Source organism: Homo sapiens, chromosome 17 (genome assembly GCF_000001405.40).
Source record: "Homo sapiens chromosome 17, GRCh38.p14 Primary Assembly".
NCBI classification, from domain to species: domain Eukaryota; kingdom Metazoa; phylum Chordata; class Mammalia; order Primates; family Hominidae; genus Homo; species Homo sapiens.
Genome location: NC_000017.11, coordinates 4,800,816 through 4,828,706, shown reverse-complemented (window position 1 = coordinate 4,828,706; position 27,891 = coordinate 4,800,816). Strand labels below are relative to the sequence as shown.

The following is a 27,891-nucleotide window of genomic DNA, read 5'->3' as shown; positions in this document are numbered from 1 at the left end:
AGAAAATCACTAACACTTAAGCAATGAAGGTGGCCAGGCACCGTGGCCCATGCCTGTAATCCCAGCACTTTGGGAGGCTGAGGCGGGTGGATCACCTGAGGTCAGGGGTTCGAGACCAGCCTGACCAATATGGTGAAAACCTGTCTCTATGAAAAATACAAAAATTAGCTGGGCGTGGTGGTGTGCACCTGTAATCCCGGCTAGGTGGGAGGCTGAGGCAGGGGAATTGCTTGAACCCGGGAGGCGGAGGTTGCAGTGAGCTGTGATCATGCCACTGCACTCCAGCCCGGGCGACAGAGCGAGACTCCATCCCCAAAAAAAAAAAAAAAAAAGTAATGAAGGCATCTGTTGTCTGGGTGGGCACTGTAGCAGTTCAAAGTCAAGACCATGGGATAGTAGGAAAAAGCATAGAATTTGGAGGTAGTGCGTTAGGCAAATCACTAACCTCTCTGAGGCTCAACTCTGTCATCTGTAAAATGGAGATGATAATAATAGGGAGGTTAGGATAAAATAATTTATGTAAAGCACTTAGCATATACTAGGTCCTCAATAAATTTACTAATGCCTCAGTCATAGAGGCTCCTTTTTCCATTCTGGGTTTAGAGCCAACTCTTCTGATTCTAAGCCCTCTGCTTCCACCGCCCACCCCCCCTCACTATGGTTGGTCTCCATTTAAAAAACTCCAGGACTAGGCTGGGCACAGTGGCTCATGCCTGCAATCCCAGCACTTTGGGAGGCTAAGGCGGGTGGATCACGAGATCAGGAGTTCCAGGCCAGCCTGGCCAACATGGTGAAACCCCGTGTCTACTAAAAGTACAAAAATTAGCCAGGCACGGTGCAGGGGGCCTGTAATCCCAGCTACTCGGGAGGCTGAGGCAGGAGAATTGCTTGAACCCGGGAGGTGGAGGTTGCAGTGAGCCAAGATTGTGCCACTGCACTCCAGCCTGGGTGACAGAGCAAGACTCCATCTCAAAAAAAACCGAAAACAAACAAAAACCTCCAGGACTAGGGAGGCGAAGGCAGAGAGTGTGAAGCAGAAGCCCTCGGCACCCCTGGCCCAGCCTGGGGCAACCGCTGCCTCTATCTCACTCCACGGTGAATGAGGTAATGGTCCCCCTCGGGGAAACAGGCAGTTAGTGCTGACAATGAGGCTAATTAACAGGATGCCAATTAGTACCAGGAGACCGCTATATGTAGGAGGGGGGAATTCTGGCACAGAAGTAGCTTCTTTAGCTTCTTGTGAGGACTGAGGGCTGAACTCGAAGGAGAGGATGAGGCAGAGCAACATCATCCCCTCTTCATGCCTCACCCACCCAGCACATCTCTCTTCCAGGAGGGCTTCCTAATCTCCATACTTCACCCCCCTCAGTTTCCTCCTGCATCTGCGGTCAGTTCTGAGACTGGGGCGTGAGGCTGTGGGAATGAAGGGCAAGAGCCAGGACTTGTGCTACATTTTTTTCTTTCTTTCTTTCTTTTTTTTTTGAGATGGAGTCTCGCTCTGTCGCCCAGGCTGGAGTACAATGGCGCAATCTCAGCTCACTGCAACCTTCACCTCCCGGGTTCAAGCGATTCTCCTGCCTCAGCTTCCCCAGTAGCTGGGACTACAGGCGCCCACCACCGTGCCCGGCTGTTTTTGTATTTTTAGTAGAGAGGGGGTTTCGCCATGTTAGCCAGGATGGTCTCTATCTCCTGACCTTGTGATCCCCACACCTCGGCCTCCCAAAGTGCTGGGATTACAGGCATGAGCCACCGTGCCCGACCTACATTTTTTTCTAATTGAAATTATTTTGGGTCCGGGTGCGGTGGCTCACACCTGTAATCCCAGTACTTTGGGAGGCCGAGGCAGGCGGATCACTTGAGGTCGGGAGTTCGAGACCAGCCTGACCAACATGGAGAAACCCCGTCTCTACTAAAAAATATAAAATTAGCCGAGCGTGGTGGCACATGCCTCTAATCCCAGCTACTTGGGAGGCTGAGGCAGGAGAATCACTTGAACCCGGGAGGCGTAGGTTGCGGTGAGCCAAGATCGCGCCATTGCACTCCAGCCTGGGCAACGACTGAAACTCTGTCTCAAAAAAAAAAAAAAAAAAAAAGAAAAGAAAATATTTTGGGCTAGGCACGGTGGCTCATGCCTCTAATCCCAGCACTTTGGGAGGCCGAGGAGGGCGGATCATGAGGTCAGGAGTTTGAGACCAGCCTGGCCAACACAGTGAAACCCCGTCTCTACTAAATTATGCAAAAATTAGCCAGGCATGGTGGCGCCTGCCTGTAATCCCAGCTACTCAGGAGGCTGAGGCGGAAGGATTGATTGAGCCCAGGAGGTCCAGGCTGCAGTGAGCCATGATTACCCACTGCACTGCACTCCAGCCTTAGCAACAGACTGAGAGCCTGTCTCAAAAATGAAAAAATAAATAAGCTGGGCACCATGGCATGCACCTGTAGTCCCAGCTACTCTGGAGGCTGAGGTGGATTGCTTGAGCCCAGGAAATCAAAGCTGCAGAGAGCTGTGATCGCACCACTGCACTCTAGCCTGGGCCACAAAGCAGGACCTGTCTCTAAAAAATAAAAAGGAACAAAAATAAAAAATTTCAGACATACAAAAAGTTATGAATATGTGTGTTTATATTTTTTTAATTAAGAAATTTTTAGAGATGGGGTCTTGCTATGTTGCCCAGGCTGAGCTTGAACTCTTGGTCCTCCTGCCTCAGCCTCCTGAATAGCTGGGATTACAGGCTTTAGCCACCATGCCCAGCTTTTATATACACTCAGTTTAAGAAAATAAAAGGGGCCAGGTGCTGTGGCTTGTGCCTGTAATCCCAGCACTTTGGGAGGCCGAGGAGGGTGGATCACCTGAGGTCAGGAGTTCAAGACCAGCCTGGCCAACATGGTGAAACTCCGTCTCTACTAAAAATATAAAAAAATTAGTCAAACGTGGTAGTGGACGCCTGTAGTCCCAGCTACTCAGGAAGCTGAGACAGGAGAATTGCTTGAACCTGGGAGGCGGAGGGTGCAGTGAGCTGAGATTGTGCCACTGCACTCCAGCCTGGGCAACAGAGCAAGACTCCATCTCAAAAAAAAAAAAAAAGAAAAAAAGAAAAGAAATAAAAAGGGCCAGGTGCTATTTATGCCTGTAATCTCAGCACTTTAGGAGGCTGAGGTGGGAAGATGACTTAAGCCCAGGAGCTCAAGACCAGCTTGGGCAACAGAGCAAGACCCCATCTCTACAAAAAATAAAAACATTAGCCAGGTGTGGTGGCACATGCTTGTAGTCCCATCTATTCAGGAGGCTGAGGCAGGAGGATCTCTTGAGTCCAGGAGTTCAACATTGCAATGAGCTATGATTGTGCCATTGCACTCCAGCCTGGGGGACAGAACAAGACTCTGTCTGCCCCTCCCCGTCAAAAAAATTTACCATTGTTACCAGTGACATTCTCTCTGTATACCTCTTCTGGAAGGTAACCATTCCCAGTTTGGTATGTGCAATACGCTTCCATAGACCTTGCCATATTTTCCACCTCTTCCCTCTGGGAAGAGGGCTGTCCAGTAGAACTCTGTGCAGTGATGGAAATGGTCTATACTTGCACTGTCCAATATGTTAGTTACTGGCAACAATTGGCTACTGAGCACTTGAAATGTAGCTAGTGTAAGGGACTAAATTTTTTTTTTTTTTTTTTTGAGACAAAGCCTTGCTTGCTCTGTCGCCCAGGCTGGAGTGCAGTGGTGCAATCTCGGCTCACTGCAAGTTCTGCCTCTTGGATTCAAGCGATTCTCATGCCTCAGCCTCCTGAGTAGCTGGGATTACAGGCACCCGCCATCATACCCGGCTAATTTTTTTATTTTTGTAGAGACAGGGTTTCACCATGTTGGCCAGGCTGGTCTCGAACTCCTGACCTCAAGTGATCCACCCACCTTGGCCTCCCAAAGTGCTGGGATTACAGGCGTGAGCCACTGTGCCCAGCCCCTACATTTTTAATTCTAATTTTAATTCACTTAAATTGAAATAGCCAGGCCCAGCACGGTGGCTCACACCTGTAATCCCAGCACTTTGGGAGGCCGAGGCGGGTGAATCATCTGAGGTCAGGAGTTTGAGACCAGCCTGGCCAACATAGCAAAACCCTGTCTCTACTAAAAATACAAAAATTAGTCTGGGTGCAGTGGCTCATGCCTGTAGTCCCAGCACTTTGGGAGGCTGAGGTGGGTGGATGATGAGGTCAGGAGTTCGAGACCAGCCTGGCCAACTAAAAAATATACAAATTAGCCAGGCGTGGTGGCGGGCGCCTGTAATCCCAGCTGTTCAGGAGGCTGAGGCAGGAGAATTGCTTGAGCCCAGGAGGTGGAGGTTGCAGTGAGCTGAGATCACGCCACTGCACTCCAGCCTGGACGACAGAGCAAGACTCTGTCTCAAAAAAAAAAAAATTAGCCGGGCGTGGTGGCACACACCTGTAGTCCCAGCTACTCAGGAGGCTGAGGCAGGAGAATCGCTTGAACCTGGGAAGTGGAGGTTGCAGTGAGCTGAGATCATGCCACTGCACTCCAGCCTGGGTGACAGAGAAGACTCCGTCTCAAAAAAAAAATAATAATAATAATAAATAGAAAAAGAAATAGCCAAACATGGCTAGTGGCTAGTGGCTACTGTACTGGACAGTGAGGCTCCAGAACAGAAGTGCCATACGGGTGAGGACTTTGTTGCACTCACTTCTGTGAGTCTAGAACAGAGCTGGCAAATAGCAGGGAATCAATAAATATTTAAGTCAATGGCTGAGTCTTGACAGCAAGCTAGTCATGTAAGTATTATTCCCATTTCCCAGCGGGGACCACTGAGGCCCAGAGAAGTGAATGACTTGACAAGTTCACCTAGCTTCTCATTGAGGAGTCCAGGATTTGGGTCCAGGTCTTCCTGACCTTAAGCCTATACCCTCAACCACTCCCACAGGGCCTTCATTAAGCCTCTACCAGGGCTGTTGCTTGAACAAGAGGCAGCCTCTCTAGGTCCTTCTCAGAGCATCTCCCTCACCTGCGGTTGTGATAGCAGCTCCACAGTTCTCCAGGTGCCCTGGTTGGGCCCTGCCCGTCCTTCTACCCAGGCGGCACTGTGTCAACACCTTCTCCTCTCAGGAGCCAGGTGACCGAGCTCCCGAAGCCACAGATAGGTAGAACAGAGGTGGAGAGAGGAGAGTGGAGGAGGGTGGAGATAAGGTGAAGGGGACTGGTGCCCCGTGTGGGCAGGAACGGGAGGCTGGAACGAGCAGTTAGTTCCTCCAAGGAAGACGCATGAACCTTTTCTACACCTTTATTTATGAAATGCTTATTGAACGGATACAAAGTTAGTGTCTGTCAGCAGGCTGGTGGAGGGAGTTAATGTGCCCTCCTTCCTTCCCCTGGTGGGGGCTGAAGCCAGAAGTGGCTTTATCCTTCCCTCCACCTTGGCAGCAATGGGCTGGGAGGGCCCTGGGACAGGGAGGGGGTTCAAGGGCAGGAAGAGGAAGGGAACAATGGGTAGTAGGGCCTGGGGCAGAGCCCCCTTCTCCTGGAATAAGAGGCTTGACCCTGCTCACCCTGGCAGGAGCTGTGCTTCTCCTTTGCAGCATGGAGAAGTGGTTTGCACTGGGCAGCAGGGGGGATGAGCTCTGGGACTCTCTCCTCCTCCCCAGCCCAGGGTTGGGAGTGCCCTTTTCAGCTATTTCTCACGTAAGGGTCCTCTGTAACACCTCTAGTTCCCTTCAGGAATGCCTGCCTCCCCAGATCTCAAAGGGCACTGCCCTCAGTCCTTGGGGTTAAGGGGCAGGGAGCCAGACGTGGTGGGGCACAGCAGCTGGTGACCTCTCCCTGACGGGGGCCTCAACTATGTCCACACTTCTAGGGGGATCATGCCCTCCTTGCTACCCAGCGGGGGCAGCAAAGACTCATCCTCTAGGAACTTGAGGGGGAAGTGGACCAGGTGGCCCTGGACCTGGGTGAGCTCAGACCGAGCCAAGGGGGGACTGACCGTGGCCAAGGGCTCCACGGCCACGTACTCCCGGAGAGTCCGCAGGGAACGCGTGGCATTGGATGGCAGGCAGCGGAAGATCTGTGGGCGGGGGCATGGACGCCAGTAAGGCTTGGGGAGACTCTCCCAACAATCTAAGTCCAACTAGGCTAGACCCCTTCCCCCATACCATCTCTCCATACCCCCCGTTGACCCTGGGCCACTAACTCTCTCTCTCTTTTTTTTTTTGAGACGGAGTTTCACTCTTTTTGCCCAGGCTGGAGTGCAATGGTGCGATCTCGGCTCACTACAATCTCCACCTCTCGGGTTCAAGTGATTCTCCTGCCTCTGCCTCCTGAGTAGCTGGGATTACAGGTGCCCACCACCATGCCCGGCTAACTTTTGTACTTTTTTTTTTTGAGACAGAGTTTTGCTCTTGTTGCCCAGGTGGCTGGAGTGCAATGGCGTGATCTCGGCTCACTGAAATCTCTGTCTCCTGAGTTCAAGAGATTCTCCTGCCTCAGCCTCCCAGCCACACCTAGCTAATTTTTTTGTATTTTTAGTAGAGATGGGGTTTTGCCATGTTGGGAGGCTGATCTCAAACTCCTGACCTCAGGTGATCCACCGGGCCTTGGCCTCCCAAAGTGCTGGGATTACAGGCATGAGCCACTGCACCCGGCCTGGGCCACTAAATCTCTTGATAGCAAATGTCCCCAGGCCCTCATCCCCCTTCCAATAATGACTGTATGGTGGCGCTTCTCTCCATCCTACCCTGAGCAGGATAATCCACAAATTTCCCCAGGCCACTCTCCCCCACCCCTCCCAAGTTCCCACCTGCTCATAGATATTGGCGTTGCTCTCAGCCATGTCTTGCCACAACTGGAAGAAGTCATCACAGATGGGGTCTCGGAGATCCAAGTCTGGCCGGGTATTTGCTCCAAGAATCACACTATAGGAGAAAGGGGTCCCAGCAGGGCCAGATTAAGATCCTTAGAGAACCTGAGTACCAGAAAAGTTACATTGTCCCTACTCAGGTAATTCAAAATTGGCTGGGTGCGGTGGCTCACGCCTGTATTCCCAGCACTTTGGGAGGATGAGGCAGGTGGATTGCTTGAGCTCAGGAATTCAAGACCAGCCTGGGCAATATGGCAAAACCCCATCTCTACAAAAAAATACAAAAATTAGCCAGGCACGGTGGCATGTGCCTATAGTCCCAGCTACTTGGGAGGCTGAAGTGGGAGGATCACTTCAGCTGGCGAAGTCGAGGTTGCAGTGAGCCGTGGTAACGCCACTGAACTCTAGCTGGGTGACAGAGCAAGACCCTATCTCAAAACAAACAAACAAACAAAAACAAAATAAATGCAATATAAAATAGTAAAATAAGTGTAAAAGAAGCCAACAGAGTTCTGATTTGTCTTGACTTTGATGACTACCTTGATGCTTTAAAAAATTATTTTTATTTTAAATTTTCTTCTTTTTCTGTTCTTTCCCCAATCCTCAGAACCTGTGAAAAAAATTACTTTTAAAAGATTTTTTTTTTGGCCGGGCACGGTGGCTCATGCCTGTAATCCCAGCACTTTGGGAGGCTGAGATGGGCGGATCACGAGGTCAGGAGATCGAGACCATCCTGGCTAACACGGTGAAACCCCATCTATACTAAAAATACAAAAAATTAGCTGGGCATGGTGGCGGGCGCCTGTAATCCCAGCTACTCGGGAGGCTGAGGCAGGAGAATGGTATGAACCCGGGAGGCGGAGCTTGCAGTGAGCCGAGATCGCGCCACTGCACTCCAGCGTGGGTGACAGAGCGACTCCGTCTCAAAAAGAAAACAAACAAACAAACAAAACACAAAAGTTTTTTTTTTTTGGCCGGGCGTGGTGGCTCATGCCTGTAATCCCAGCACTTTGGGAGGCGGAGGCGGGCAGATCACGAGGTCAAGAGATCTAGACCATCCTGGCTAACACGGTGAAACCCCGTCTCTACTAAAAATACAAAAAATTAGCCGGGCGAGGTGGCGGGTGCCTGTAGTCCCAGCTACTCGGGAGGCTGAGGCAGGAGAATGGCATGAACCCTGGGCGGCGGAGCCTGCAGTGAGCCGAGATCGCGCCACTGCACTCCAGCCTGGGCGACAGTGAGACTCCCTCTCAAAAAAAAAGAAAAAAAAAAAAGATTTTTTTTTTTTTTTGGCCAGGGGCGGTGGTTCATGCCTGTAATCCCAGCACTTTGGGAGGCCGAAGCCTGAGGTCAGGAGTTCAAGATCAGCCTGGCCAACACAGCGAAACCCTGTCTCTACTAAAAATACAAAAATTAGCTGGGCGTGGTGGTGGGCGCCTGTAATCCCAGCTACTCCGGAGGCTGAGGCAGAAGAATTGCTTGAACCCAGGAGGCGGAGGTTGCAGTGAGCCAGGATCGTGCCATTGCACTCCAGCCTGGGCGACAAGAGTGAAACCGTGTCTCAACAACAACAACAACAACAACAAAAAAGATTTCTTTTTCGTGGCCAGGTGCAGTGGCTCACGCCTGTAATCCCAGCACTTTGGAATGCTGAAGTGGGTGGATCACCTGAGGTCGGGAGTTCGAGACCAGCCTGACCAACACGGCGAAACCCCATCTCTACTAAAAATACAAAATTAGCTGGGCGTGGTGGCGCATGCCTGTAATCCCAGCTACTCGGGAGGCTGAGGCAGGAGAATCGCTTGAACCCAGGGCAGAGGTTGCAGTGAGCTGAGATCTCGCCATTGCACTCCAGCCTGGGCAACAAGAGCAAAACTCCGTCTCAAAAAAAAAAGATTTTTTTCTCTTTTTGTTTTTTGGTGTTCCTGCTTTACTGATACTCTAAACTGATTAGTCCTAGTAGCTGGGATCACAGGCGCCCGCCACCACACCCAGCTGATTTTTTGTATTTTTAGTAGAGACGGGTTTCACTATGTTAGCCAGGCTGGTCTCAAAATCCTGACCTCAGGCAATCCACCCGCCTTGGCCTCCCAAAGTGCTGGGATTAGAGGCGTGAGCTGCCGCGCCCAGCCTTGCCTATTGAGAATCTAGTACTGCCTCTACCTCTGGCTCCGGGAGTACCTATGCGGTGCTACCTCTTGTCCTGCTCAAAAGGCAGACGCCCCCATCTCCCTCCCACCCTGTGGCATCCCGCCCCAGCTCTACCCGAAGCAGTGCTTCCGCAGACTCAAGGCAAACCTGCCCGCCTGATACTCTGCCCCATTCATGAGGGATGGTTCCGTCTCTGTGTCCTCGATCAGCACGGCCAGCTCACTGTCCCGCTTCCCCAGCAAGCTCCGGTCATTGATGTTTGCAGAACCTGGGGTGGATGCGGGGCACACTGTGTGCTTGGGCCCAGGGCACTCTCCCCAGTACCCCATCCCCTCTACCAAAGCACTGGCCTGCAACATTCCTTCTTGGACCCTCCACCCCTACACGAGCCTCAGCTGCAGTCTCTGTCATCCTGCCTCTCATCTCTTCGCCTGTCCCCACACCCTCTCCCTGCCAGAGGACTAGATCCGGCACTGACCAATGATGACTGTCCGGTCATCTGCGATGAGCACCTTGCTGTGGATGTAGATGAGCTCCGAGACGGGGTGCCCGCCCAGCTCTCCGTGTGTACGAAGCCCGCAGATGGAAATATAGTCCCGCCATGCTGTCCCCACTGCGTGACAGGAGGGGAAGTGAGGTGAGAGGTGGCTCTGTGTGCACAGGGCCCTGTCCCACCTCCTCTCACTCCAGAAACTCTTCCTACATAGAGTCTGGTCTCTCTCCTTCTCCCTGCAGTGAAAGGCCAGCTATGGTCTGCGTAGCGTCAGAGGCTCACAGGAGTGACAGCCTCCTTCCCCCACCCCCAGGCCTGCAGCGCCCCAATCTCCCTCTCCCAGGGGCCCAGGGCTTGAGCCCCCAGCCCCCAGCACTCACTGGCTGCTTTAAGGCGATGCAGGATTGAATACTCCCCACGACACAGGGTCCTGAGAGAAAAGAAAGAGGGAGAGAAGTGGAGGCTGGCAGAGGGGAGGGGAGGTCAGGAGAGGTGGCCCTTCTTTAAGGCCCAGCAGGAAGGGATCAGGACAGAATCAGGAGGGGGACACGGGTGGGATGGGGCCACTGAGAGCTGGAGTCCGCCTGGGGGGTCACCTGTAAGTAAAGTGCAGAATGGCCTGGATGGAGTTGCCACCGCCCGTGGAGATGTCACCCTCGAAGCCAGGGAGTAAGGGCAAAAGCACGTAGACTCGGTAACACCACCCCTGTCTGGGGAGGGGGTGGAGTCAGAGGTGCGACTGGTCCCTCAAACCCCACCCCCTTCAACCGGGCTCAAACCACACCCACAGTCCCCACCTTCCTGACAGTCCACCTTACTTGTGGGCCTTCAGGATTCTGTCCACAATCTCATCGCCCACCTTGTTCAGAACCGTCCGCCCATCTGAGCAGCTAATGAAGAACTGATTCTGGGGCAAGAATCAGAGACAGACATCAGCAGCCTGGCCCCTGGCCCTGTCCTCGGCCTCCAGCCTTGGTCCCAGGCTCCAGGCGTCTGCTTCTGCTCCACCAGCCCTCAATGACTGACTCCACTCATTCCCCAGGTCTCTCTCCTGGGACACCCCTTCCATGCTCTCCCCCACCTCCTCCCAGTCAGACCTCAATGTAGAGGAAGTGCTGGCTCTCCCTGATGGTGTGCAGGTAGGCATTGAGGATGGAGTTCTCCAGAGTCCCTGCTGACCAGCGGTCCACTGATCGCAAGACCTAGGGAATGGTGAATGCGATGTGCTTCATTTCTTTTCTTTTTTAAGACAGAGTCTCGCTCTGTTGCCTAGGCTGGAGTGCAGTGGCATGATCTCCGCTCACTGCAAGCTCCTCCTCCTGGGTTCACGCCATTCTCCTGCCTCAGCCTCCTAAGTAGCTGGGACTACAGGTACGCACCACCACTCCCGGCTAATTTTTTGTATTTTTAGTAGAGACAGGGTTTCATGGTGTTAGCCAGGATGGTCTTGCTCTCCGGACCTCGTGATCCGCCTGCCTCGGCCTCCCAAAGTGCTGGGATTACAGGCGTAAGCCACTGCGCCTGGCCTTTTATTTTATTTTTGAGATGGAGTCTCACTCTGTTGCCCAGGCTGGAGTGCAGTGGCGTGATCTCAGCTCACTACAACATCCTCCTCCTGGGTTCAAGCGATTCTCCTGCCTTAGCCTCCCTAGTAGCTGGGACTACAGGTACGCACCACCACGCCCGGCTAATTTTTTGTATTTTTAGTAGAGATGGGGTTTCACCATGTTAGCCAGGATGGTCTCGATCTCCGGACCTTGTGATCCGCCTGCCTTGGCCTTCCAAAGTGCTGGGATTATAGGCGTGAGCCACCGTGCCTGGCCGTGATGTGCTTCTTAACCCCAGGAAAGGAGAGTGTGGGCAGCTCTCACACCAGGGAGAGTGGGTTGGGGTGTTAGGCTGAAGGAGACAAAGGGGAGGGCTGGCTGAAGTGGGGGGCCTCACCTGTACGGTGGTGCACTGCCCTCCTGGAAGTGTGAAGGGGAGCTGATTGGCCGTGCTGGTAGACTTGGGAAGCAGGTAGGGGTATGTGGGAGTCTTGTACTTGGCCTTGGTGGTCTGACGTGGAGGGATGGCAGAGTCAGCAGGAGGTGCCAATCTGCCCTGGCTCCCTCCCTACCTCCAGCCCCTATCGGAGGGAATGAACACCTTGGTGAAGTTCCAGCGCTGGATGAAGTGCCGGGCAAGGTCCCGGGCCGGTAGGCCATGGACGACCACCCCAACGTCCCGCCATGGCATCCGAGGGGTCGTCTCCCTGTCAATGAAATCTGGGGGGTCCCAGGAGAGTCAGGGGAGATGTCAGGGCTGGACTCCTTGGGACACTTGGGGCAGGGAGAAAGAGCCTGCCAGAGGGAGGGCTGTACCACCGTTGACCCCTCTCATCCCACTCTCAGTACCAGCCCCAGCTTCTGACCCTGCTCTCAGCTCTCTGGGGCTTTGGCGGGTGGGAGGCTTCACCTTCGAAAGGCCGGTCCAGCTGCACCCAGTCCTTGGTGATAAGATTGCTGTAGTCCTTGCCCAGCCAGAAGAATTGGTTGTGAGAGAGGTCTGGGGTGGCTGGTGAGTCTGGGCGCGGGGTGGGAGGCTGTAGGGGGAACACACCCAAGCCAGGGGCAAGGGGAAGTCATGGGGCTGTACAGAGCCAGGGCCAAAGAGAGGAGCACTGAAAGAGTGAGAGAGACCGAGAGGAAGAATGAAACAGAGGGTCTGATTCCCCAGCCCTCCCCTCCAGTTGCCTTTGACACTTTTAGAGGAATGGGGTGATGGTCAGTGAAAATGGGGAAAGGACTGGGTGGGTGACAGCACTTTTTTTTTTTTTTTTGAGACAGAGTCTCGCTCTGTTGCCCAGGGTGGAGTACAATGGCACAATCTCGGCTCACTGCAACCTCCGCCTCCTGGGTTCAAGTGATTCTCCTGCCTCAGCCTCCCGAGTAGCTTCAATGACAGGCAACTGCCACCATGCCCAGCTAATTTTTTGCATTTTTAGTAGAGACAGGGTTTCACCATGTCGGTCAGGCTGGTCTCGAACTCCAGACCTCAGGTGATCCACCCGCCTTGGCCTCCCAAAGTGCTGGGATTACAGGCATAAGCCATGGCTCCCGGCCAGTTACAGCACTTTCAAAGTGGGTTCTTGGAGTCCCAGAAAGTCTGAGGAACCCTGAGGTTGGCAGGGCCTGGAATGACTGAGGGGGTAAGGCTGGAGCTGGGAAATGGTGTTGATTGAGCTTATCTGAGTTTGGGGGTGCTCAGGAAGGCCTCAGGGGGATTACCTGGGAGGCAGCTGATTCAGAGGAGTCTCCAAGGTCAGTCAGTCGGTAGTGCAGGTCATCCCAGCGGCCATAGGCAAGGTCCAGTCCCCCCAGGAATGCTACCACTTGGTCCACCACCAGGAGCTTCTCATGATGGGCCCACAACGTCACTTGGTCTGGGTGACGCATCACCTGGAGCAGGCATGGAGGGTTCATGAGGGTGGGTTTAGGTGAAGGAAAACAGGAGGTACTGGGAGGGAGAGAGGAAAGATGGAAAGATGAGACCATCAGGGAGCGGGAGCGCTGGGGGCTGGGACAGTGTGGGGAGAAGGGCTGTCATGTGGGAGGGTCTCTGAGGCCGAGAGTCACCTTTATGTTGGGGTGCAGCAGCATCAGCGCCCTCTTGCTATAGCCACTGTTGATGCCCAAGGCCAATTCCACTTCTTTAAACAGCAGAATAGACACACGGACACCCTCCTCCTGGTGGTGAGTTGGGGAATCAGATCCTAGTGCCTCTCCCAGAGTAGCCCCTTTCCACACTCCCAAACCTTTTCCACGTGTGTCCCTCCAGCTTGTCTGGAGATCCTAGAGGCTCTGCCACATATGCCCTGCTTTGCTGCTTGCCACAGACTTAGACTAAATGTCATCTGTGTGCTCACCCACTCACCCATCCACACATCTATCCACCCACCCTTCATCATCCATCCATCCATCTTCCCAAGCATTTACTCATCCCTTTATGTACCGTCTATCATTCATCCATCTACCTGCCTACCCTCCTAGCCCTCCACCTTTCCAACTCATATCCTTCCATCCATCACCCTTTCTGTCCTCTATCCATCCACCTGCCCAGCCACCCTGCATCATCCATGCATCCTTCTTCCTGTCCATCAACACCACACATGCCCCCTCCATGGCAGGTACTGTGCCTTGTAGTGGAACAGTGATATTAACTAGTCCAGTGAGAGAGATAGACATGTATACCCCCAGATAACACAATAAAGTATTATGTATACTGGGAGGGAAGTCTCTGCCAGGTGGAGGGAGCATGAAGAGGAAGTTGTCAGTTCTCCTTAGGGCAGAGGGAGAGGGCGGAGGTGATGTCTGACAGGTGCTGGGCCAGGATGGACACTTTTCCCTCCCCTGAAGCCTCAGACTGCCTAATTCTCCCACACTGCAGCCCTGCTAATCAACCTCCACCCACAGGCAACCCCCTCCCCCTGCGGCCTGACCACTCTCCTCACCGCCTTCCTCTTGAGCATAATGTCCAGTCTCCAGTCATCTGAATGGGCCGGACGCTTCAGGTAAACCTCAGGACTCAACCTGGGATTCAGGGCAGTGGATTAGGGGCAAACGAAGCCCCAGACCACCAGCTGCACCCCCCTTCTCCTCCTAATGCTGATCTGCCCCAGGCTCTATCCTGCCCCATGTTGTTGGGGCCTTTTCCCACTCACCACCAGTCTGTGATGAAAATCTCCTCTTGAGCTCGAAGGATGGCATCTGCCACAGCAGCAAAGTAACCTGCCCCATTCACAAACCTGGGGGGAGGCCAAGCCAAGGAGGTCAGGGGAGTCAGAAGCCAGAAAGCTCTGGAGAGTGAAGACCGGAGGACAGTCGTGGGTCAGAGGTGACAGCAAGGTCAAAGATCAGAAATGATCAGAGAACACAAGTGGTATCAGACACATCAAAATAGTGTTTGCCCATATGCGCTAAATACAAATAAAAATTACAAAAAGACACAATAACCTAATCAACTAAAGAACAGGAGGATTAATACATCATACATAAAGAACACCAATAAATCGACAAGAAAAAGTCACATGAGCCAACTGAAAAATGAGCAAAGAGTAAGAACTGACAGTTCACAGAGAAATTAAAATGGCCAATCGTGGCAAATGTTCAGTTTCACTAGTAAACAACGAAATTAAAATGAAATTACATTTAAAAAATCCATTAGATTGGTAATAATTCAAATCACTGGTAACATTCAATATCAATATTCAATATGCTGGGGAAGTGGGTATTCTCATAGACTATGGGAATATAACTTTTAGGAGACAATTTGGCAGTATCAAAAAATATATATATAGCTTTTTGGAGATGGTGTCCCGCTCTGTCACCCAGGCTGGAGTGCAATGGCATGATCTTGGCTCACTGCAACCTCCGCCTCTTGGGTTCAAGCAATTTTCCTGTCTCAGCCTCCCAAGTAACTGAAATTACAGGCGCCCGCCACCACGCCTGGCTAATTTTTGTATTTTTAGTAGAGACGGGTTTTTGCCATGTTGGCCAGGTTGGTCTTGAACTCCTGACCCCAATGATCTACCCGCCTCGGCCTCCCAAAGTGCTGGGATTACAGGCATGAGCCAAAGCGACTGGTCAGCAGTATCAAAATATTAAATGCATATACCCTTTAATATCATTAAATATACATGGTAATTACATGTCTAGGAATACATCTAATACAATGCCTAGGCAAATGTTGTGTTCATCACATTGTTTGTAAGAGTGAAAAATGGGAAATAATATAAGTGTCTAATCTCTCACACAGGTATTAAGTGAAAAAATAAGTCACAGAAGAGGTTGCATGATCTCATTTATGTTGAAACAAAAGTAACACGTGCATGCACATGTGAAAATATGCAGGAAGGCTGGGCAAGGTGGCTCATGCCTGTAATCCCAGCCCTTTGGGAAGCCGAAGCGGGTGGATCACTTAAGGTCAGGAGTTCGTGACCAGCCTGGCCAACATGGTGAAATCCTATCTCTACTAAAAATACAAAAATCAGCTGAGCATAGTGGTGCACGCCTGTAATCCCAGCTACTCAGGAGGCCGAGGCAGGAGAATCGCTTGAACCCAGGGGGCAGAGACTGCAGTGAGCTGGTATCGCGCCACTGCACTCCAGCTTGGGCGACAGAGCCAGACTCCATCTCAAAAACCAAACCAAACCAAAACAAAACAAACGAACAAACAAAACTTCCTTCCATGACTGCCCTGTGTGCCTGTGATATTAGCACATGGGACCCTGTGAGATCAGGTGCCACTGACTCCCAGCTTCTCCTCTGACTGCTCCTCCTCACTCAGTAACAACAATATGTCCTGGTGGTTCCCAAACACCCTGAGCTATTTCTGTCTTCTGTGCCTGGACTGTTCTGCATTTTCTTTATCTTGTATAGTTCCATGAGGATCAGCAAGTGTATGTTCCCACGCAATCACCAGTCCTATCAAAATATAGGACATTTTTATCGTCCTGGAATGTTCCCTCGTGTGCCCCACTATAGGCAATCATTTCCCCATACCCTGCCACAGGCAACTGCTGATCTGATTTCCATCACTGTGGATTGGTTTTGGCTGTTTTAGAAGTTTATAGCCAGGTGCAGTGGCTCAAGCCTGTAATCCCAGCACTTTGGGAGGCCGAGGTGGGCAGATCACGAAGTCAGGAGATCGAGACCATCCTGGCCAACATGGTGAAACCCTGGCTCTACTAAAAATACAAAAATTAGCTGGACATGGTGGCATATGCCTGTAATCCTAGCTACTCAGGAGGCTGAGGCAGAAGAATCACTTGAACCGGGGAGTCAGAGGTTGCAGTGAGGTGGGATCCTGCCACTGCACTCCAGCCTGGTGACAGAGACAGACTCCATCTCAAAAAAAAAAAAAAAAAACCAAAACAAAAATTAGCTGGGTGTGGTGGCATGCACCTGTGATCCCAGCTACTTGGGAGGCTGAGGCAGGAGAATCCCTTGAACCTGGGAGGCTGAGGTTGCAGTGAGCTGAGATTGTGCCACTGCACGCTAGCCTGGGCAACAAGAGCGAAACTCTGCCTTAAAAAAAAAAAAGTATATAGGCCAGGCACTGTCGCTCATGCCTGCAATCCAGCACTTTGGGGAGGCCGAGGCAGGATGATCCCTTGAGCCCAGGAGTTCGAGACCACACCCGTCTAATTTTTAAAATTTTTTGTAAAAAAAAATGTTTTTAATTAGCCGGGTGTGGTGGCATGTGTCTGTAGTCTCAGCTACTTGGGAGGCTGAGGCAGGAGGATGATTTGAGCCTGGGAGGTTGAAGTTGCCGTGAGCCATGATCACACTACTGCACTACACGCCTGGTGACAGAGCAAGACACTGTCTCCAACAAAAACCAACAAAATTAATATTGTGTCAGTCTCTGATTTAAAGCAAAACTACCTGAGGGTCACCACCTCCTGGAAACCTGTCCTGATATCCCTGCTGGGCCAGGTACTTCCTGTCTGTGCGTGTCACCTTCTACCTATCACCAGTACGGCAAGTTCACATTGTTTCACGATTTGATCACCTACTTCCCTAACCCAGAGAGGACTGTGTGTTACTGCCAGCACTGCTAGGTGCTTAGAAAAATGTTTATTAAGGCTGGGCACGGTGGCTCACGCCTGTAATCCCAGCACTTCGGGAGGCCGAGGCGGGCGGATCACCCGAGGTCAGGAGTTCGAGAAGAGCCTGGCCAACATGGTGAAACCCCCGTCTCTACTAAAAATACAAAAATTAGCCAGGTGTGGTGGTGGGCGCCTGTAATCCCGGCTACTCGGGAGGCTGAGGCAGAAGAATCGCTTGAACCTGGGAGGCGGAGGTTGCAGTGAGCCGAGATCAACAGAACAAAACTCTCTCTCAAAAAAAAAAAAAAAAAAAAAGAAAAGAAAATGTTTATTAAATGAAGGACTAAATCAGAGAGATTTGAGAAGATCATGGAGAACAGAGAGGGTCAGTATTGTAGAGAGGGGTTTAAAAGGTTATAGGAGGTTAGAGAGGTCAAGGGTCAGAAGAGATGACCAAGTTTGGGGGTCAGAAAGGTCGGCGCGAAATCAGAGAGATCAATGTGGTTAAAGATGTCAAAGGTCAGGAAGATTAAAGAAGTCACGGGGCGGGTCATTGAGGTCAGGAGGGTTCAGATGAGAAAAGAGAGGATGAAGGACTCAGAGATTACACAGGGGGTCAAGAAAGCCACAGACAAGCTCAGAAGGGATGTCAGTGTCTCACCACCGGGCCAAGGTCCCAGGCCGGGGTGGGGCGTAGCTGTCATGCCGGTGCAGCTGTAGGAAGTCTCTGCCTGGGCCCTGTGCCAGCTCAGTGATCTCTTGGGCCCACCACCGTGCCTGCCGGTAGCTGCTGCACTTGAGAATCAAGGACCTGGATGGGAACGATGAGATGTCCATAAATCCTCGCCCTCCATACCTGTGATCTTGCCTAGAGACCTCCCCTTTCCCACTTCCTCCCTTAGTCCCTAATCACAACTGCACAGGGATAGGGCGTGTATGTATCTGCCTTATTTATTTATTTATTTTTGAGACAGAGTTTAGCTCTTGTCCCCCAGGCTGGAGTGCAGTGGTGCGATCTCTGCTCACTGCAACCTCTGCACCCCAGCTTCAAGCGATTCTCCTGCCTCAGCCTCCCAAATAGCTGGGATTACAGGCACGCACCACCACGCCCGGCTAATTTTTGTATTTTTAGTAGAGACAAGGTTTTAGCATGTTGGCTGGGCTGGTCTCGAACTCCTGACCTCAGGTGATCCACCCGCCTCGGCCTCCCAAAGTGCTGGGATTGTAGGTGTGAGCCACCGCGCCCGGCCATATCCACCTTACTCATAGTTGGATCCTAGTATTGCATCAGCAACCAGTATTGTACCAGGCACTCGGGTTTGTTGAATGAACAAATGAACAAATGGAATTTCGTTTATGTCAGCAGTTCCCTTCCCAGGCTTCTACTAATCCCCTTTCTCTGGGCCCAGTCTAAGAGCAGTCCCAAGCATCTGGCTAGACCAGTTCCTGGTTCAAAACTATGTCCCGATCCAGGGAGGTGGAAAAGCCTTCCTCTCTCCTGTGGTCTCTCTTTCTCAACTCCCAGCAAGGCCGTGGGTGGGCTCACCACTCAGCTGGTGTCTCTCACCCCAGGGAGGCCTCACCTGTGGGAGGTATCGATCCGCACGCCGTGCCGTGCCTCCGTGCTCCTTTTCCCCACTTGCACCTCAAAGCCAGGGTCAAAGAGCTGAACAAATGAGATGGCACCTGTCTCGAGGCACATGTACAGCAGGAAGGAGTCCTTCACCACCAGCCACCTAGAGCAGAAGGGCTCCGTGTGTTCCTCTCTGCCCTCAAAATTTTCTTCCTCACCCCCACCCACTGCCCAGCTGCTTGGCCATAGCCCGTACCTCTTGGACCAGCGATAACAAACTTGGTCTCGGCCACAGCAGGTGAGGCCAGGAACACGGTGGCCACCTGAGCGCTTCCGGATCATCCCCTCCCTGTGGGACAATCAGGAAGAGAGGCGGGATGAGGACTCCAGACCCCCAGCCCACCCTGCACTGCTTGCCCCAATCTCAGGCAGGGAGAAATTAAGAGTGATGTCTACGGATGCCTGGGTGAAGGGGGCCAGACACTCACAGTCCTTTGCGGCCCAAGTCCGGGATAAAGGACAGCTGACTGACTTCCAGGAACTCTGTCTGCAGAGGAAAACAAAAGCCCGGAGGAGACACCTGGCTTTCAGCCCCTCAGACCCTGGGGCCCCTGGCCCTCCTCCCCGAGGGTCTGATAATCCTGCTCCACATCTAAAATCGGCCCCTGGACCTTACCATGGCATGGTAGTTGCGATAGAAAGACATGGTCAAGAGACGGTTGAGGTAATTCTCCAGGTATTTCTGAAGTGGAGATGAGAGAGAGAGAGAGACAGATGGGACCGAGCCATTTGCACCTCCAATGCCTTCCCGGAGGACCTGGCATCTGGTCCCACCTGTTTGCTGGCTGCATGTCTGGTGGAGCCCTCAGGACCTGCCCGGGGTAGAGAGGGCATCTCTCTGTTGCCTGCATCTCGGGCTGGAGAATAGGCAACGGCAAATCTGTGGAAAGGATGGATGAAGGTCAGGTAAGAGCTGGGAGGCTGGGTGCTCTGGTTCCTGAAAACACTGGAGATGGGGCTCGGAGGAAAAGAAGAGGCCTGGAGGTGGCCAGGCGTGGTGGCTCACGCCTGGAATCCCAGCACTTGGGGAGGCCGCAGCAGGTGGATCACTTGAGCTCAGGAATTTAAGACCAGCCTGGGCAACACAGCAGCACCCCATCTCTACAAAATATACAAAAATTAGTTGGGTGTGGTGGCTGTGGTCCTAGCTACTCTGGAGGCTGAGACGGGAGGACTGCTTGAGCCCAGGAGGTTGCCATGAGCCAAGATCATACCACTGCACTCTAGCCTGGGTGACAGAGGGAGACCTTGTACAAAACAAAAACAAAAAACAAACAAAAGGCCTAGAGGCTGGCAAAACGGAGGCCCCCTACCCTGGGAATGGAGACTAGAAAAGGGTGAGGCTGCCAAGAGCATTTTGGGCATCCCGCCCAGCTGAGATGCTGGCACAGAACCATGGACAGGGAAAGCTGAGCAGGGAAAGTTTCCTGGTAACTGGGGTCAGGGGAGGCAGCACAGTGGCCAGAGTTGCAGGGAGGAAAGGTTGTGGCCCCGGGGTGAGACAGACAGAAAGGAGGGTGGGGAGCACCTGCCCTCTACAGGAAGCAGTCCGGTCGCCCTCACCGAGCCAGAGGGAGCAGACTCATCAAGACTTTGTGTCTCAGGAGGTCCCGATGCAGCTCCTGAAAATGACGGTATTTCTTCTTGGTTGTCCAGGAAAAGTCGCCGTGAGTCAAGCGGACAGAATACAGAGTGCAGGTTCCCACCTAGGGGTATGAGGAACTGAATGGATGTCCCCTGCGTGGGTCCCCGCCTCCCCACTCTGGCCAGCCCTCCTTTTGCCCCTTCCCTGGGGCCAGCCCAGCCACCTTGGATCCATTCCGGGCCGCCCTCCCTTTCCCCCTCCCTGGGGCCAGTCTGGCCACCTTGGATCCGCTGGTATATCTTTCGGTGCCCACCACCTGGGCTGTGACAGGGACCCCAGGTGCGAACACCAAGGGGTGCACTTTCAGAGACTGAAGCTCATAGATGGCCAGAAACGGGTGCATCCGGTCGGCTGGGAGGAAAGAAAGTCGAGGAGTGTAGACCACAACAGGCCCCAGCCCCCTGGCTCCCGAACGCCTCTCCTCCCTGAGGGCCATCCATCTTCCCTGTGTACCTGGGTCCTCTCCCTCCTTCAGGGTGTCCACCTCATCGGACTCCATCTGGAGCTGGCTGGAGTCCAGTTCGTCCCCAGTGGGGAAGAGGCTCTCAGGGGTCGCCGTCATCCTAGGAACATTGGGAAGCCTCAGGGAGGCGAGCTGTCCTGCAGAACCCGCCCCCCATCCTAACTCCCGCAGGTCCTCCATCTCTTCCAGATCCTCCTCTTCCCCCACGGCCTCCTGACCGCCCGCGGATGACGCCTGACCAGTTTGCAACGCCCCACCGACCCCTTCGAGCCCCCATCCCCTACCTTAGTCCTTCATCCACAATCCCAGTCCCGCCCCCCGCCCCCCGCCCCGTCCCGTAACCAGAGCCCCGGGGAACACCCAGCCAGGCCCGGAAGGCTCCGACCTGGGGCGGCGCAGCAGCTGCGCGGGGAAGCGGCCCTGGGTGGTCCGGAGAGCGCGCGGCTACGGGGCTCACGCCAGGCCAGGCGGGCCGGGGGCAGGGGTCCAGGCGGGAATGAGGAAGTTACGCGATCCCAGCCGGGGGTAGAAATCCCGAAATCTGAGCGTGCGACTGAGTCTGGAGGCCCCGCAGCCCGAGCCCGTTCCGTCCCCGCCCGATTTCCGAGACCCGGGACCCCCGCGCGCCCCTTCCCGGCCCCCTCACCCTGGCAGACGGAGCCAGCGCCCGCGGGGGTTCCGGAGCCAAGAGAGCAGACCGGAGCTGCAGCCGGAGCCCACGCCCCGGCCGAGGCGGGGCCGGCCGAGGCGGGGCCGGGGCTCAGGGCCTGCCCTCGGGGGCGGGGCGGCCCCCGGCCTCACCTCCGCGGGATTCTCGTCTGTCCTGTCCCGCCCCCGCTGCCCTCGGCCCGCCCCGCCGCCCAGTGCGCCACCGAGAGCCCCGGGCAGGGGGCCGCCCTGTGCCCTGCAGGGCCGCGGGGCCGCGTAGCTCTCTCGGTGCGGCGGGTAAGTGCTGCCCGGCGTCGGGGCGTCCCGCGCCGTCGGTCCCAGCGTGCCCGGCCGCTGCCTCCCGGGGCACCCCGCGCTGCGCGCATCCCTCGGGCTCGGCGCCCGCCCCGGGCCCCTCCAGCCGCGGGCGCTGCCTCGGCGCCCGGGGGACGCGCCTCCGCTGCGGGAGCTGCCGGTAGGTGCCCCGCTCCCGGACCCGCTGCGAGCCACATTTGGCCTAGCCCAGATAGCGTTTGTACCTGGAAGGAATGAGGGCGTAAAAGGCCTGAGGGGTGGTGGCTACAAACCCATTAGTGTATGAAAGCGGGCATTCTTTCATTCATTCACCAAACATTTATTGCGCGCTTACTCCGTGCCAGAAATTGAGAGTATGGTAGTAAATAAGATGGTTAGAGAGCCTGCTCAGCTGGAATTGGCAGTCTAGGGGGAAATAAAATTTTTTCGGGTATTAAAATACAAGATATTTCAATCTTTTTTAAAAAGCAGATTTATTTTTCTCTTTTGATATACATGTGGGTTTCTAGTTTTGCCCATTGTTTTAGCTCCTGTAAACATTCCTGTAAGTTTGCGTGGATAGTTTTCCTTTATCTTGGGTAACTAGGGAGTGGAGTTGTTCGATCATATCAGTGTGTGTTTAACTTATAAGAAACTGCCAAACGATTTTTTTCTAAATGGTTTTTCCATTCTAGATTTCCAAAATCAGTGTATGGTGGTTCCAGTTATTCCATGGCATGGCCAACGTTGGATATTGTCAGTCTTTAGCGTTGGCCATTTAATGGGTGTTGTGGGCACATCATTGCAATTTGATTTGCATTTGTCTGGAGATCAATGATATTGACCATGTTTCATGTGCTGATTGGCCATTTGTATGTCTTCTTTTATAAAGTGCCTATTCAGTCTTTTGCTATTTTTTATTTATTTTTATTTTTATTTTTATGAGACGGAGTCTCGCTCTTTTTTTTTCTTTTTTTGAGATGGAGTCTTGCTGTGTTGCCCAGGCTGGAGTGCAGTGGCGCGATCTCGGCTCACTGCAAGCTCCGCCTCCCAGGTTCACGCCATTCTCCTGCCTCAGCCTCCTGAGTAGCTGGGACTACAGGCGTCCGCCACCACGCCCAGCTAATTTTTTTTGTATTTTTAGTAGAAACGGGGTCTCACCGTGTTATCCAGGATGGTCTCGATCTCTTGACCTTGTGATCCGCCCTCCTCGGCCTTCCAAAGTACTGGGATTACAGGCGTGAGCCACCGCGCCCGGCCAGAGTCTCGCTCTTGTTGCCCATGCTGGACTGCAGTGGCGTGATCTCGGCTCACTGCAACCTCCCCCTTCCAGGTTCAAGGGATTTCCGGCTAATTTTTGTATTTTTAGTAGAGACGGGGTTTCACCATGTTGGCCGGGCTGGTCTCAAACTCCAGACCTCAAGTGATCCGCCCTCCTCAGCCTCCCAAAGTGCTGGGATTACAGGCGTGAGCCACCGTTCCCGGCCTTTTGCTAATTTTTTTTTTTGAGACAGAGTTTCGCTGTTATTGCCCAGGCTGGAGTGCAATGGCGCGATCTCGGCTCACTGCAACCTCCGCCTCCCGGGTTCTCTCCTGCCTCAGCCTCCTGAGTAGCTGGGATTACAGGCACCTGCCACCACGCCTAGCTAATTTTTTGTATTTTTAGTAGAGACGGGGTTCCTCCATGTTGGTCAGGCTGGCGTCGAACTCCTGACCTCAAATGATCCGCCCTCCTTGGCCTAAAGTGCTGGGATTACAGGCGTGAGCCACCGCACCCGGTCTTAAACTTATAAAACAGGCAAAAACAACCTATAGTGATGGAAATCAGATCAGTAGTTGCTTGTGGCAGGGTGTAGGGAAAAGATTGCCTGTAAAGGGACACGTGAGGGAACATTCCAGGATGATAAGAATGCCCTGTATTTTGATAGGAGTGGTGATTGCATAGGAGCATACACTTGGTAATACTCATGGAACTGTACGTTAAGATGTGTGCATTACATTGTATGTGCATTTTTGCTTCAATAAAGTTCATTGAAAGAAAAAGAAGGCGGGGCGCGGTGGCTCACACCTGTAATCCCAGCACTTTGGGAGGCCGAGGCGGGCAGATCACGAGGTCAGGAGATCGAGACCATCTTGGCTAACATGGTGAACCCCGTCTCTACTAAAAATACAAAAAATTAGCTGAGTGTGGTGATGCGTACTACTCGGGAGGCTGAGGCAGGAGAATCATTTGAACCAGGGAGTCAGAAATTGCAGTGAGCCGGGACAGTGCCACTACACTCCGGCCTGGTGACAGAGTGAGACTGTCTCAAAAAAAAAAAAAAAAGAAAGAAACATTTCTGTGTAACTCAGGCAGTACCCTGTAATCAGCAACCTAACACTCCCCACGTTGTGGCACCCTCAGGGAATGATGAAACAGCACTTGTGGCTGGGCGCAGTGGCTCACGCTTGGAATCCCAGCACTTTGCGAGGCTGAGGAGGGCAGATCACGAGGTCACGATATCGAGACCATCCTGGCTAACACAGGGAAACCCTGTCTCTATTAAAAATACAAAAAATTAGCCAGGCGTGGTGGCGGGCACCTGTAGTCCCAGCTACTTGGGAGGCTGAGGCAGGAGAATGGCGTGAACCCGGGAGGCGGAGGTTGCAGTGAGCTGAGATCGTGCCACTGCACTCCAGCCTGGGCAACAGAGCGAGACTCCATCTCAAAAAAAAAAAAAAGAAAAAAGAAAAAAAACACAGCACTTCCACAGCTTTACTTAAGAGCACTTAGAGTCCTTGGCTAGGATGCTCTTGACTAGATGCTCCCAGCCTTGGCTCTGGCCACCCCAAACTGTCTGAGGGCATCGATGCTTGCTTGGGGACATGCTTCAGAAGCTCAGTGTACTGGTCAAAAGAGTAGATTCTGGGCTGGGTGTGGTGGCTGATGCCTGTAATCCCAGCACTTTGGGAGGCTGAGGCAGGCAGATCACTTGAGGTCAGGAGTTGGAGAACAGCCTGGCCAACGTGGTGAAAGCCCATCTCTACTAAAAATACAAAATGTGGCTGGGGATGGTGGCGGGTGCCTGTAATCCCAGCTACTTGGGAGGCTGGGACAGGAGACTCGCTTGAGCCCTGGAGACGGAGGTTGCAGTGAGACGAGATTGCACCACTGTAATCCAGCCTGGACAACAGAGCAAGACTCCATCTCAAAAATTAAAAAAAGGCCGGGTGCTGTGTCTCATGCCTGTAATCCCAGCACTTTGGGAGGCCGAGGTGGCCGGATCACGAGCTCAGGAGATCGAGACCATCCTGGCTAACACGGTGAAACCCCATCTCTACTAAAAATACAAAAAAAATTAGCCGGGTGTGGTGGTGGGCGCCTATAGTCCCAGCTACTCAGGAGGCTGAGGCAGGAGAATGGCGTGAACCCGGGAGGCAGAGTTTGCAGTGAGCCAAGACCGCGCCACTGCATTCCAGCCTGAGTGACAGAGCGAGACTCTGTCTCAAAAAAAAAAAAAAAAAAAAAAAAAATTAAAAAAAACAATAGATTTTTGGGGTCAGACTGACTCAAGGTGAGGGTTGTGAGCTGGGCATGGTTCCTACTCGGCTAATAACTGCCTGCGTGACCTTGGGCAAATTACCTTACCTCTCAGTGCCTGCTTTTTCACATCTGTAAAACCAGGATAGACTCACCTAACCAGTGAGGGACTTACCTCAAAAGATCTTTGAGGCCGGGTGCGGTGGCTCACACCTGTAATCCCAGCACTTTGGGAGGACAAGGCGGGTGGATTGCCTGAGGTCAGGAGTTCGAGACTAGCCTGGCTAACATGGTGAAACCCCGTCTCTACTAAAAATACAAAAAAATTAGCTGGGCATGGTGGTGTACGCCTGTAGTCCCAGCTACTTGGGAGGCTGAGGCAGGAAAATCACTTCAACCCAGGAGGCAGAGTTGCAGTGAGCCGAGATTGCGCCACTGCACTCCACCCTGGGCGAGAGAGTGAGACTCTGTCCCCCAAAAAAAAGATCTTTGACGTGATTAAGTGAAATGAGACAACATGTAAAAGTCTCTAGCATTTACCTGACACAGCATAATTAATCAATTACAATCATCTTCATAACAGGGGACAGGAACTATCAGACCATTTAATGAGAATCTAACATTTCCCTGAATAATAAAGTTTCTTATTCTAAAAAAATAGAGTATTCTTTGAAAGTTTACATCTTGGGCACTTCAATTCTCATTCTAAAATACAAAGGAATCCCCAGCGGTGTCCAGCCTGGCGCCAAGTTGTCGGGCATTGCCATAGTGAAATGTGACTGCATCTGTCTGTCACAGCACCTCTGCGTCTGTCCCTGCCGTGCCACCTCTCCCAACCACCTCCTGCTTCTCCATGGGGATCAGAAAGGACCCCCAAATTAATGGGGCATAAAAATAGGTGTCTGAATGGGAGTGTACCCCCACCCCTTTCTTCCTCCCTCCTCTCCCCTTTCCATCCCTGGCGCCTGTAATCACCAGGCGGTCTGAGGCTAAGTGGTAGTTTTGCCCATGGTGGGGGGGCTTGGAAACCACACCCCTCTCCCGGGGGCCCTCCTGGCCATTCCCAGCTCTGATCGCCTCCACTGTTGAGATGGGTCTGAAGGGGGCATGGTGTTTCCCATGGTGCGGGTGCCGGAGGCAGCGGGGGACTGAAAGAGGAGCAGGTATGGAGTAGACTGAGGGTAAAGCGGGGCTGTCAGGCAGACAGAGAGACAACTGCATGGCAGGGAGAGAAATGCTCAAACCAGCAAAGGGAAAAGGATCATCTGTCTCCCTGGGTGGGAGATGGATCACCGAAGTCCTCACAGGACAGGCTAAATACTTTGTAGGGCCCAGTTCGAAATGACCAAGTGGGGCCCCTTGTTAACAATTTAAGAATTTCGGCCGGGTACGGTGGCTCATGCCTGTAATCCTAGCACTTTGGGAGGCCAAGGTGGGTAGATCACGAGGTCAGGGGATGGAGACCATCCTGGCTAACACGGTGAAACCCACCTCTACTAAAAATACAAAAAATTAGCCGGGTGTGGTGGCGGGCGCCTGTAGTCCCAGCTACTCGGGAGGCTGAGGCAGGAGAATCACTTGAACCCGGGAGGCGGAGGTTGCAGTGAGCCGAAATAGTGCCATTGTACTCCAGCCTGGGCAACAGAGTGAGACTGTCTCAAAAAAAAAAAAAAATTAAGAATTTCAAGATGGTGACAGCAGAGACCTATGCCAAGCATGGTGGCCCTTCTGAGTCGGAGGATCCTATGCAACTGCACAGGTCACATGTGTGCGAGCCAGTCCTGCTTGCTCTGCAACAGCCCCTCTCCCTCCCCCTGCTGCTGCCACCAACACTCCTCACCAGCCCCCAGGCCCCAGGTGTCTTCCCTTGCTTCTTCCCTCCTCAACCCTGGGTTGGGGGTGAGGGAGGAGGTGAACCCTGACCTACAACTTCCTTCTTCCTCCAATCTTTTAGGCCTGAGTCCTGCTGCCCCTCCAGATCCCAGTCCAGCTATAGCCCCCACCATGGCTGAGGGAGGGGTACCCTCGCCAGGGCCTGGTGCCTACTTCAGCAGGAAAGCCCGACTCTCCTTCCGCCACCAGCTGCATGACATAGCATCGGCCAATGACTCCACCATTTGAAGGGGACGACGAGGAGGTGAACCTCCAGGAAGGCTTAGCAAGCTTCCTTCCCCAGATTTCTCAGCGATCCTAATGTCCACCTCCCCAAGTCCTTTCTAACCTTCTCATCAAATGTGTTCATAGTTGCTAAGTGCTGTGTGTGTGTGTGCTGGGGGTGTAGATGGGGCCAAGGCTGCAGGGCTGGGTTATGGGGCTGAGATGGGAAGTGTTGTCTACGGTGGGAGTGAGACACACGAATGATGAATATGAGGCAGCTGACCTAACGCAGAGCCCAGGTGTGACAAGCGGGAAAGTAAGAATTGGCTGACGTCAAGCTTCGGGGTTGAGTGTGGTGAAGGCAGGCTGGGGTGGCTGGGGGCAGGGCAGGATAGCAGATGGGATGAGAAAGCATATTCATTCAGTAAATGCCGAGTGTCCACCCCTGCCAGGCGTGGAGGATGTATCAATGAACCAGGAAGGAACAATTCTCTCTT

At 53.1% G+C, this 27,891-nt stretch overlaps 2 protein-coding genes across 8 annotated transcripts, besides 2 other annotated features; one reads left to right on the top strand and one right to left on the bottom strand.

Moving 5' to 3' along the window:
* On the bottom strand, positions 5,277-21,555 carry PLD2 (phospholipase D2). Of its 5 annotated transcripts, none has more exons than NM_002663.5 (25): positions 21,482-21,555; positions 20,826-20,935; positions 20,593-20,723; positions 20,291-20,433; positions 19,502-19,607; positions 19,344-19,409; positions 19,156-19,214; positions 18,924-19,016; positions 18,678-18,830; positions 17,756-17,905; positions 14,206-14,289; positions 13,996-14,074; positions 13,121-13,231; positions 12,773-12,943; positions 11,961-12,087; positions 11,652-11,770; positions 11,448-11,561; positions 10,601-10,705; positions 10,322-10,410; positions 10,100-10,213; positions 9,884-9,933; positions 9,489-9,623; positions 9,125-9,278; positions 6,800-6,914; positions 5,277-6,067 (listed from the first exon to the last, which is right to left on the bottom strand). In NM_002663.5, the coding sequence occupies exons 2-25, from the start codon at positions 20,932-20,934 to the stop codon at positions 5,843-5,845; spliced, it is 2,802 nt and encodes a 933-aa protein (NP_002654.3). In that variant the 5' UTR covers position 20,935; positions 21,482-21,555; the 3' UTR covers positions 5,277-5,842. The 5 variants fall into 5 exon arrangements, with proteins under 5 accessions (NP_002654.3, NP_001230037.1, XP_047292256.1 ...); NM_001243108.2 differs by having other exon boundaries at positions 9,158-9,278; XM_047436300.1 differs by lacking the exons at positions 20,593-20,723; positions 21,482-21,555 and having other exon boundaries at positions 20,826-20,895.
* Positions 19,620-20,819: an enhancer, noted in NCBI's record as "CDK7 strongly-dependent group 2 enhancer chr17:4711183-4712382 (GRCh37/hg19 assembly coordinates)". NCBI's record gives its function as "activates an origin of replication core promoter dependent on BRD2, BRD4, P300/CBP, MED14 and CDK7 cofactors, with strong dependence on CDK7, by STARR-seq in HCT116 cells {active_cell/tissue: HCT116}" and the evidence as "EXISTENCE:reporter gene assay evidence [ECO:0000049][PMID:35650434]".
* Positions 21,215-22,004: a silencer, noted in NCBI's record as "silent region_8045". NCBI's record gives its function as "represses an Ori minimal core promoter by ATAC-STARR-seq in GM12878 lymphoblastoid cells {active_cell/tissue: GM12878}" and the evidence as "EXISTENCE:reporter gene assay evidence [ECO:0000049][PMID:35858748]".
* C17orf114 (chromosome 17 open reading frame 114) lies at positions 21,698-27,548 on the top strand. Of its 3 annotated transcripts, none has more exons than NR_172509.1 (2): positions 21,698-21,780; positions 27,252-27,548. NR_172509.1 is itself a non-coding variant. In NM_001395223.2 (2 exons), the coding sequence occupies exons 1-2, from the start codon at positions 26,388-26,390 to the stop codon at positions 27,416-27,418; spliced, it is 240 nt and encodes a 79-aa protein (NP_001382152.1). In that variant the 5' UTR covers positions 26,379-26,387; the 3' UTR covers positions 27,419-27,548. The 3 variants fall into 3 exon arrangements, 1 of the variants encoding a protein (NP_001382152.1); NR_172508.1 differs by having other exon boundaries at positions 21,698-21,958; NM_001395223.2 differs by lacking the exon at positions 21,698-21,780 and adding an exon at positions 26,379-26,460.
* Positions 27,549-27,891: the final 343 nt, after the last annotated feature.

Bases quoted from the DNA above. Each gene is read 5' to 3' on its own strand.
- PLD2 (NM_002663.5), bottom strand. From the start codon at position 20,934: ATGACGGCGACCCCTGAGAGCCTCTTCCCCACTGGGGACGAACTGGAC. The intron at 12,088-12,772 runs GTAATCCCCCTG...TTCCCCCTACAG, and splicing joins CTGAATCAGCTGCCTCCCAG to CCTCCCACCCCGCGCCCAGA. The intron at 9,934-10,099 runs GTGACCCCCCAG...CTTTTCTCTCAG, and splicing joins ATTCTGCACTTTACTTACAG to GACCCTGTGTCGTGGGGAGT.
- C17orf114 (NM_001395223.2), top strand. From the start codon at position 26,388: ATGGGTCTGAAGGGGGCATGGTGTTTCCCATGGTGCGGGTGCCGGAGG. The intron at 26,461-27,251 runs GTATGGAGTAGA...CCAATCTTTTAG, and splicing joins GGGGACTGAAAGAGGAGCAG to GCCTGAGTCCTGCTGCCCCT.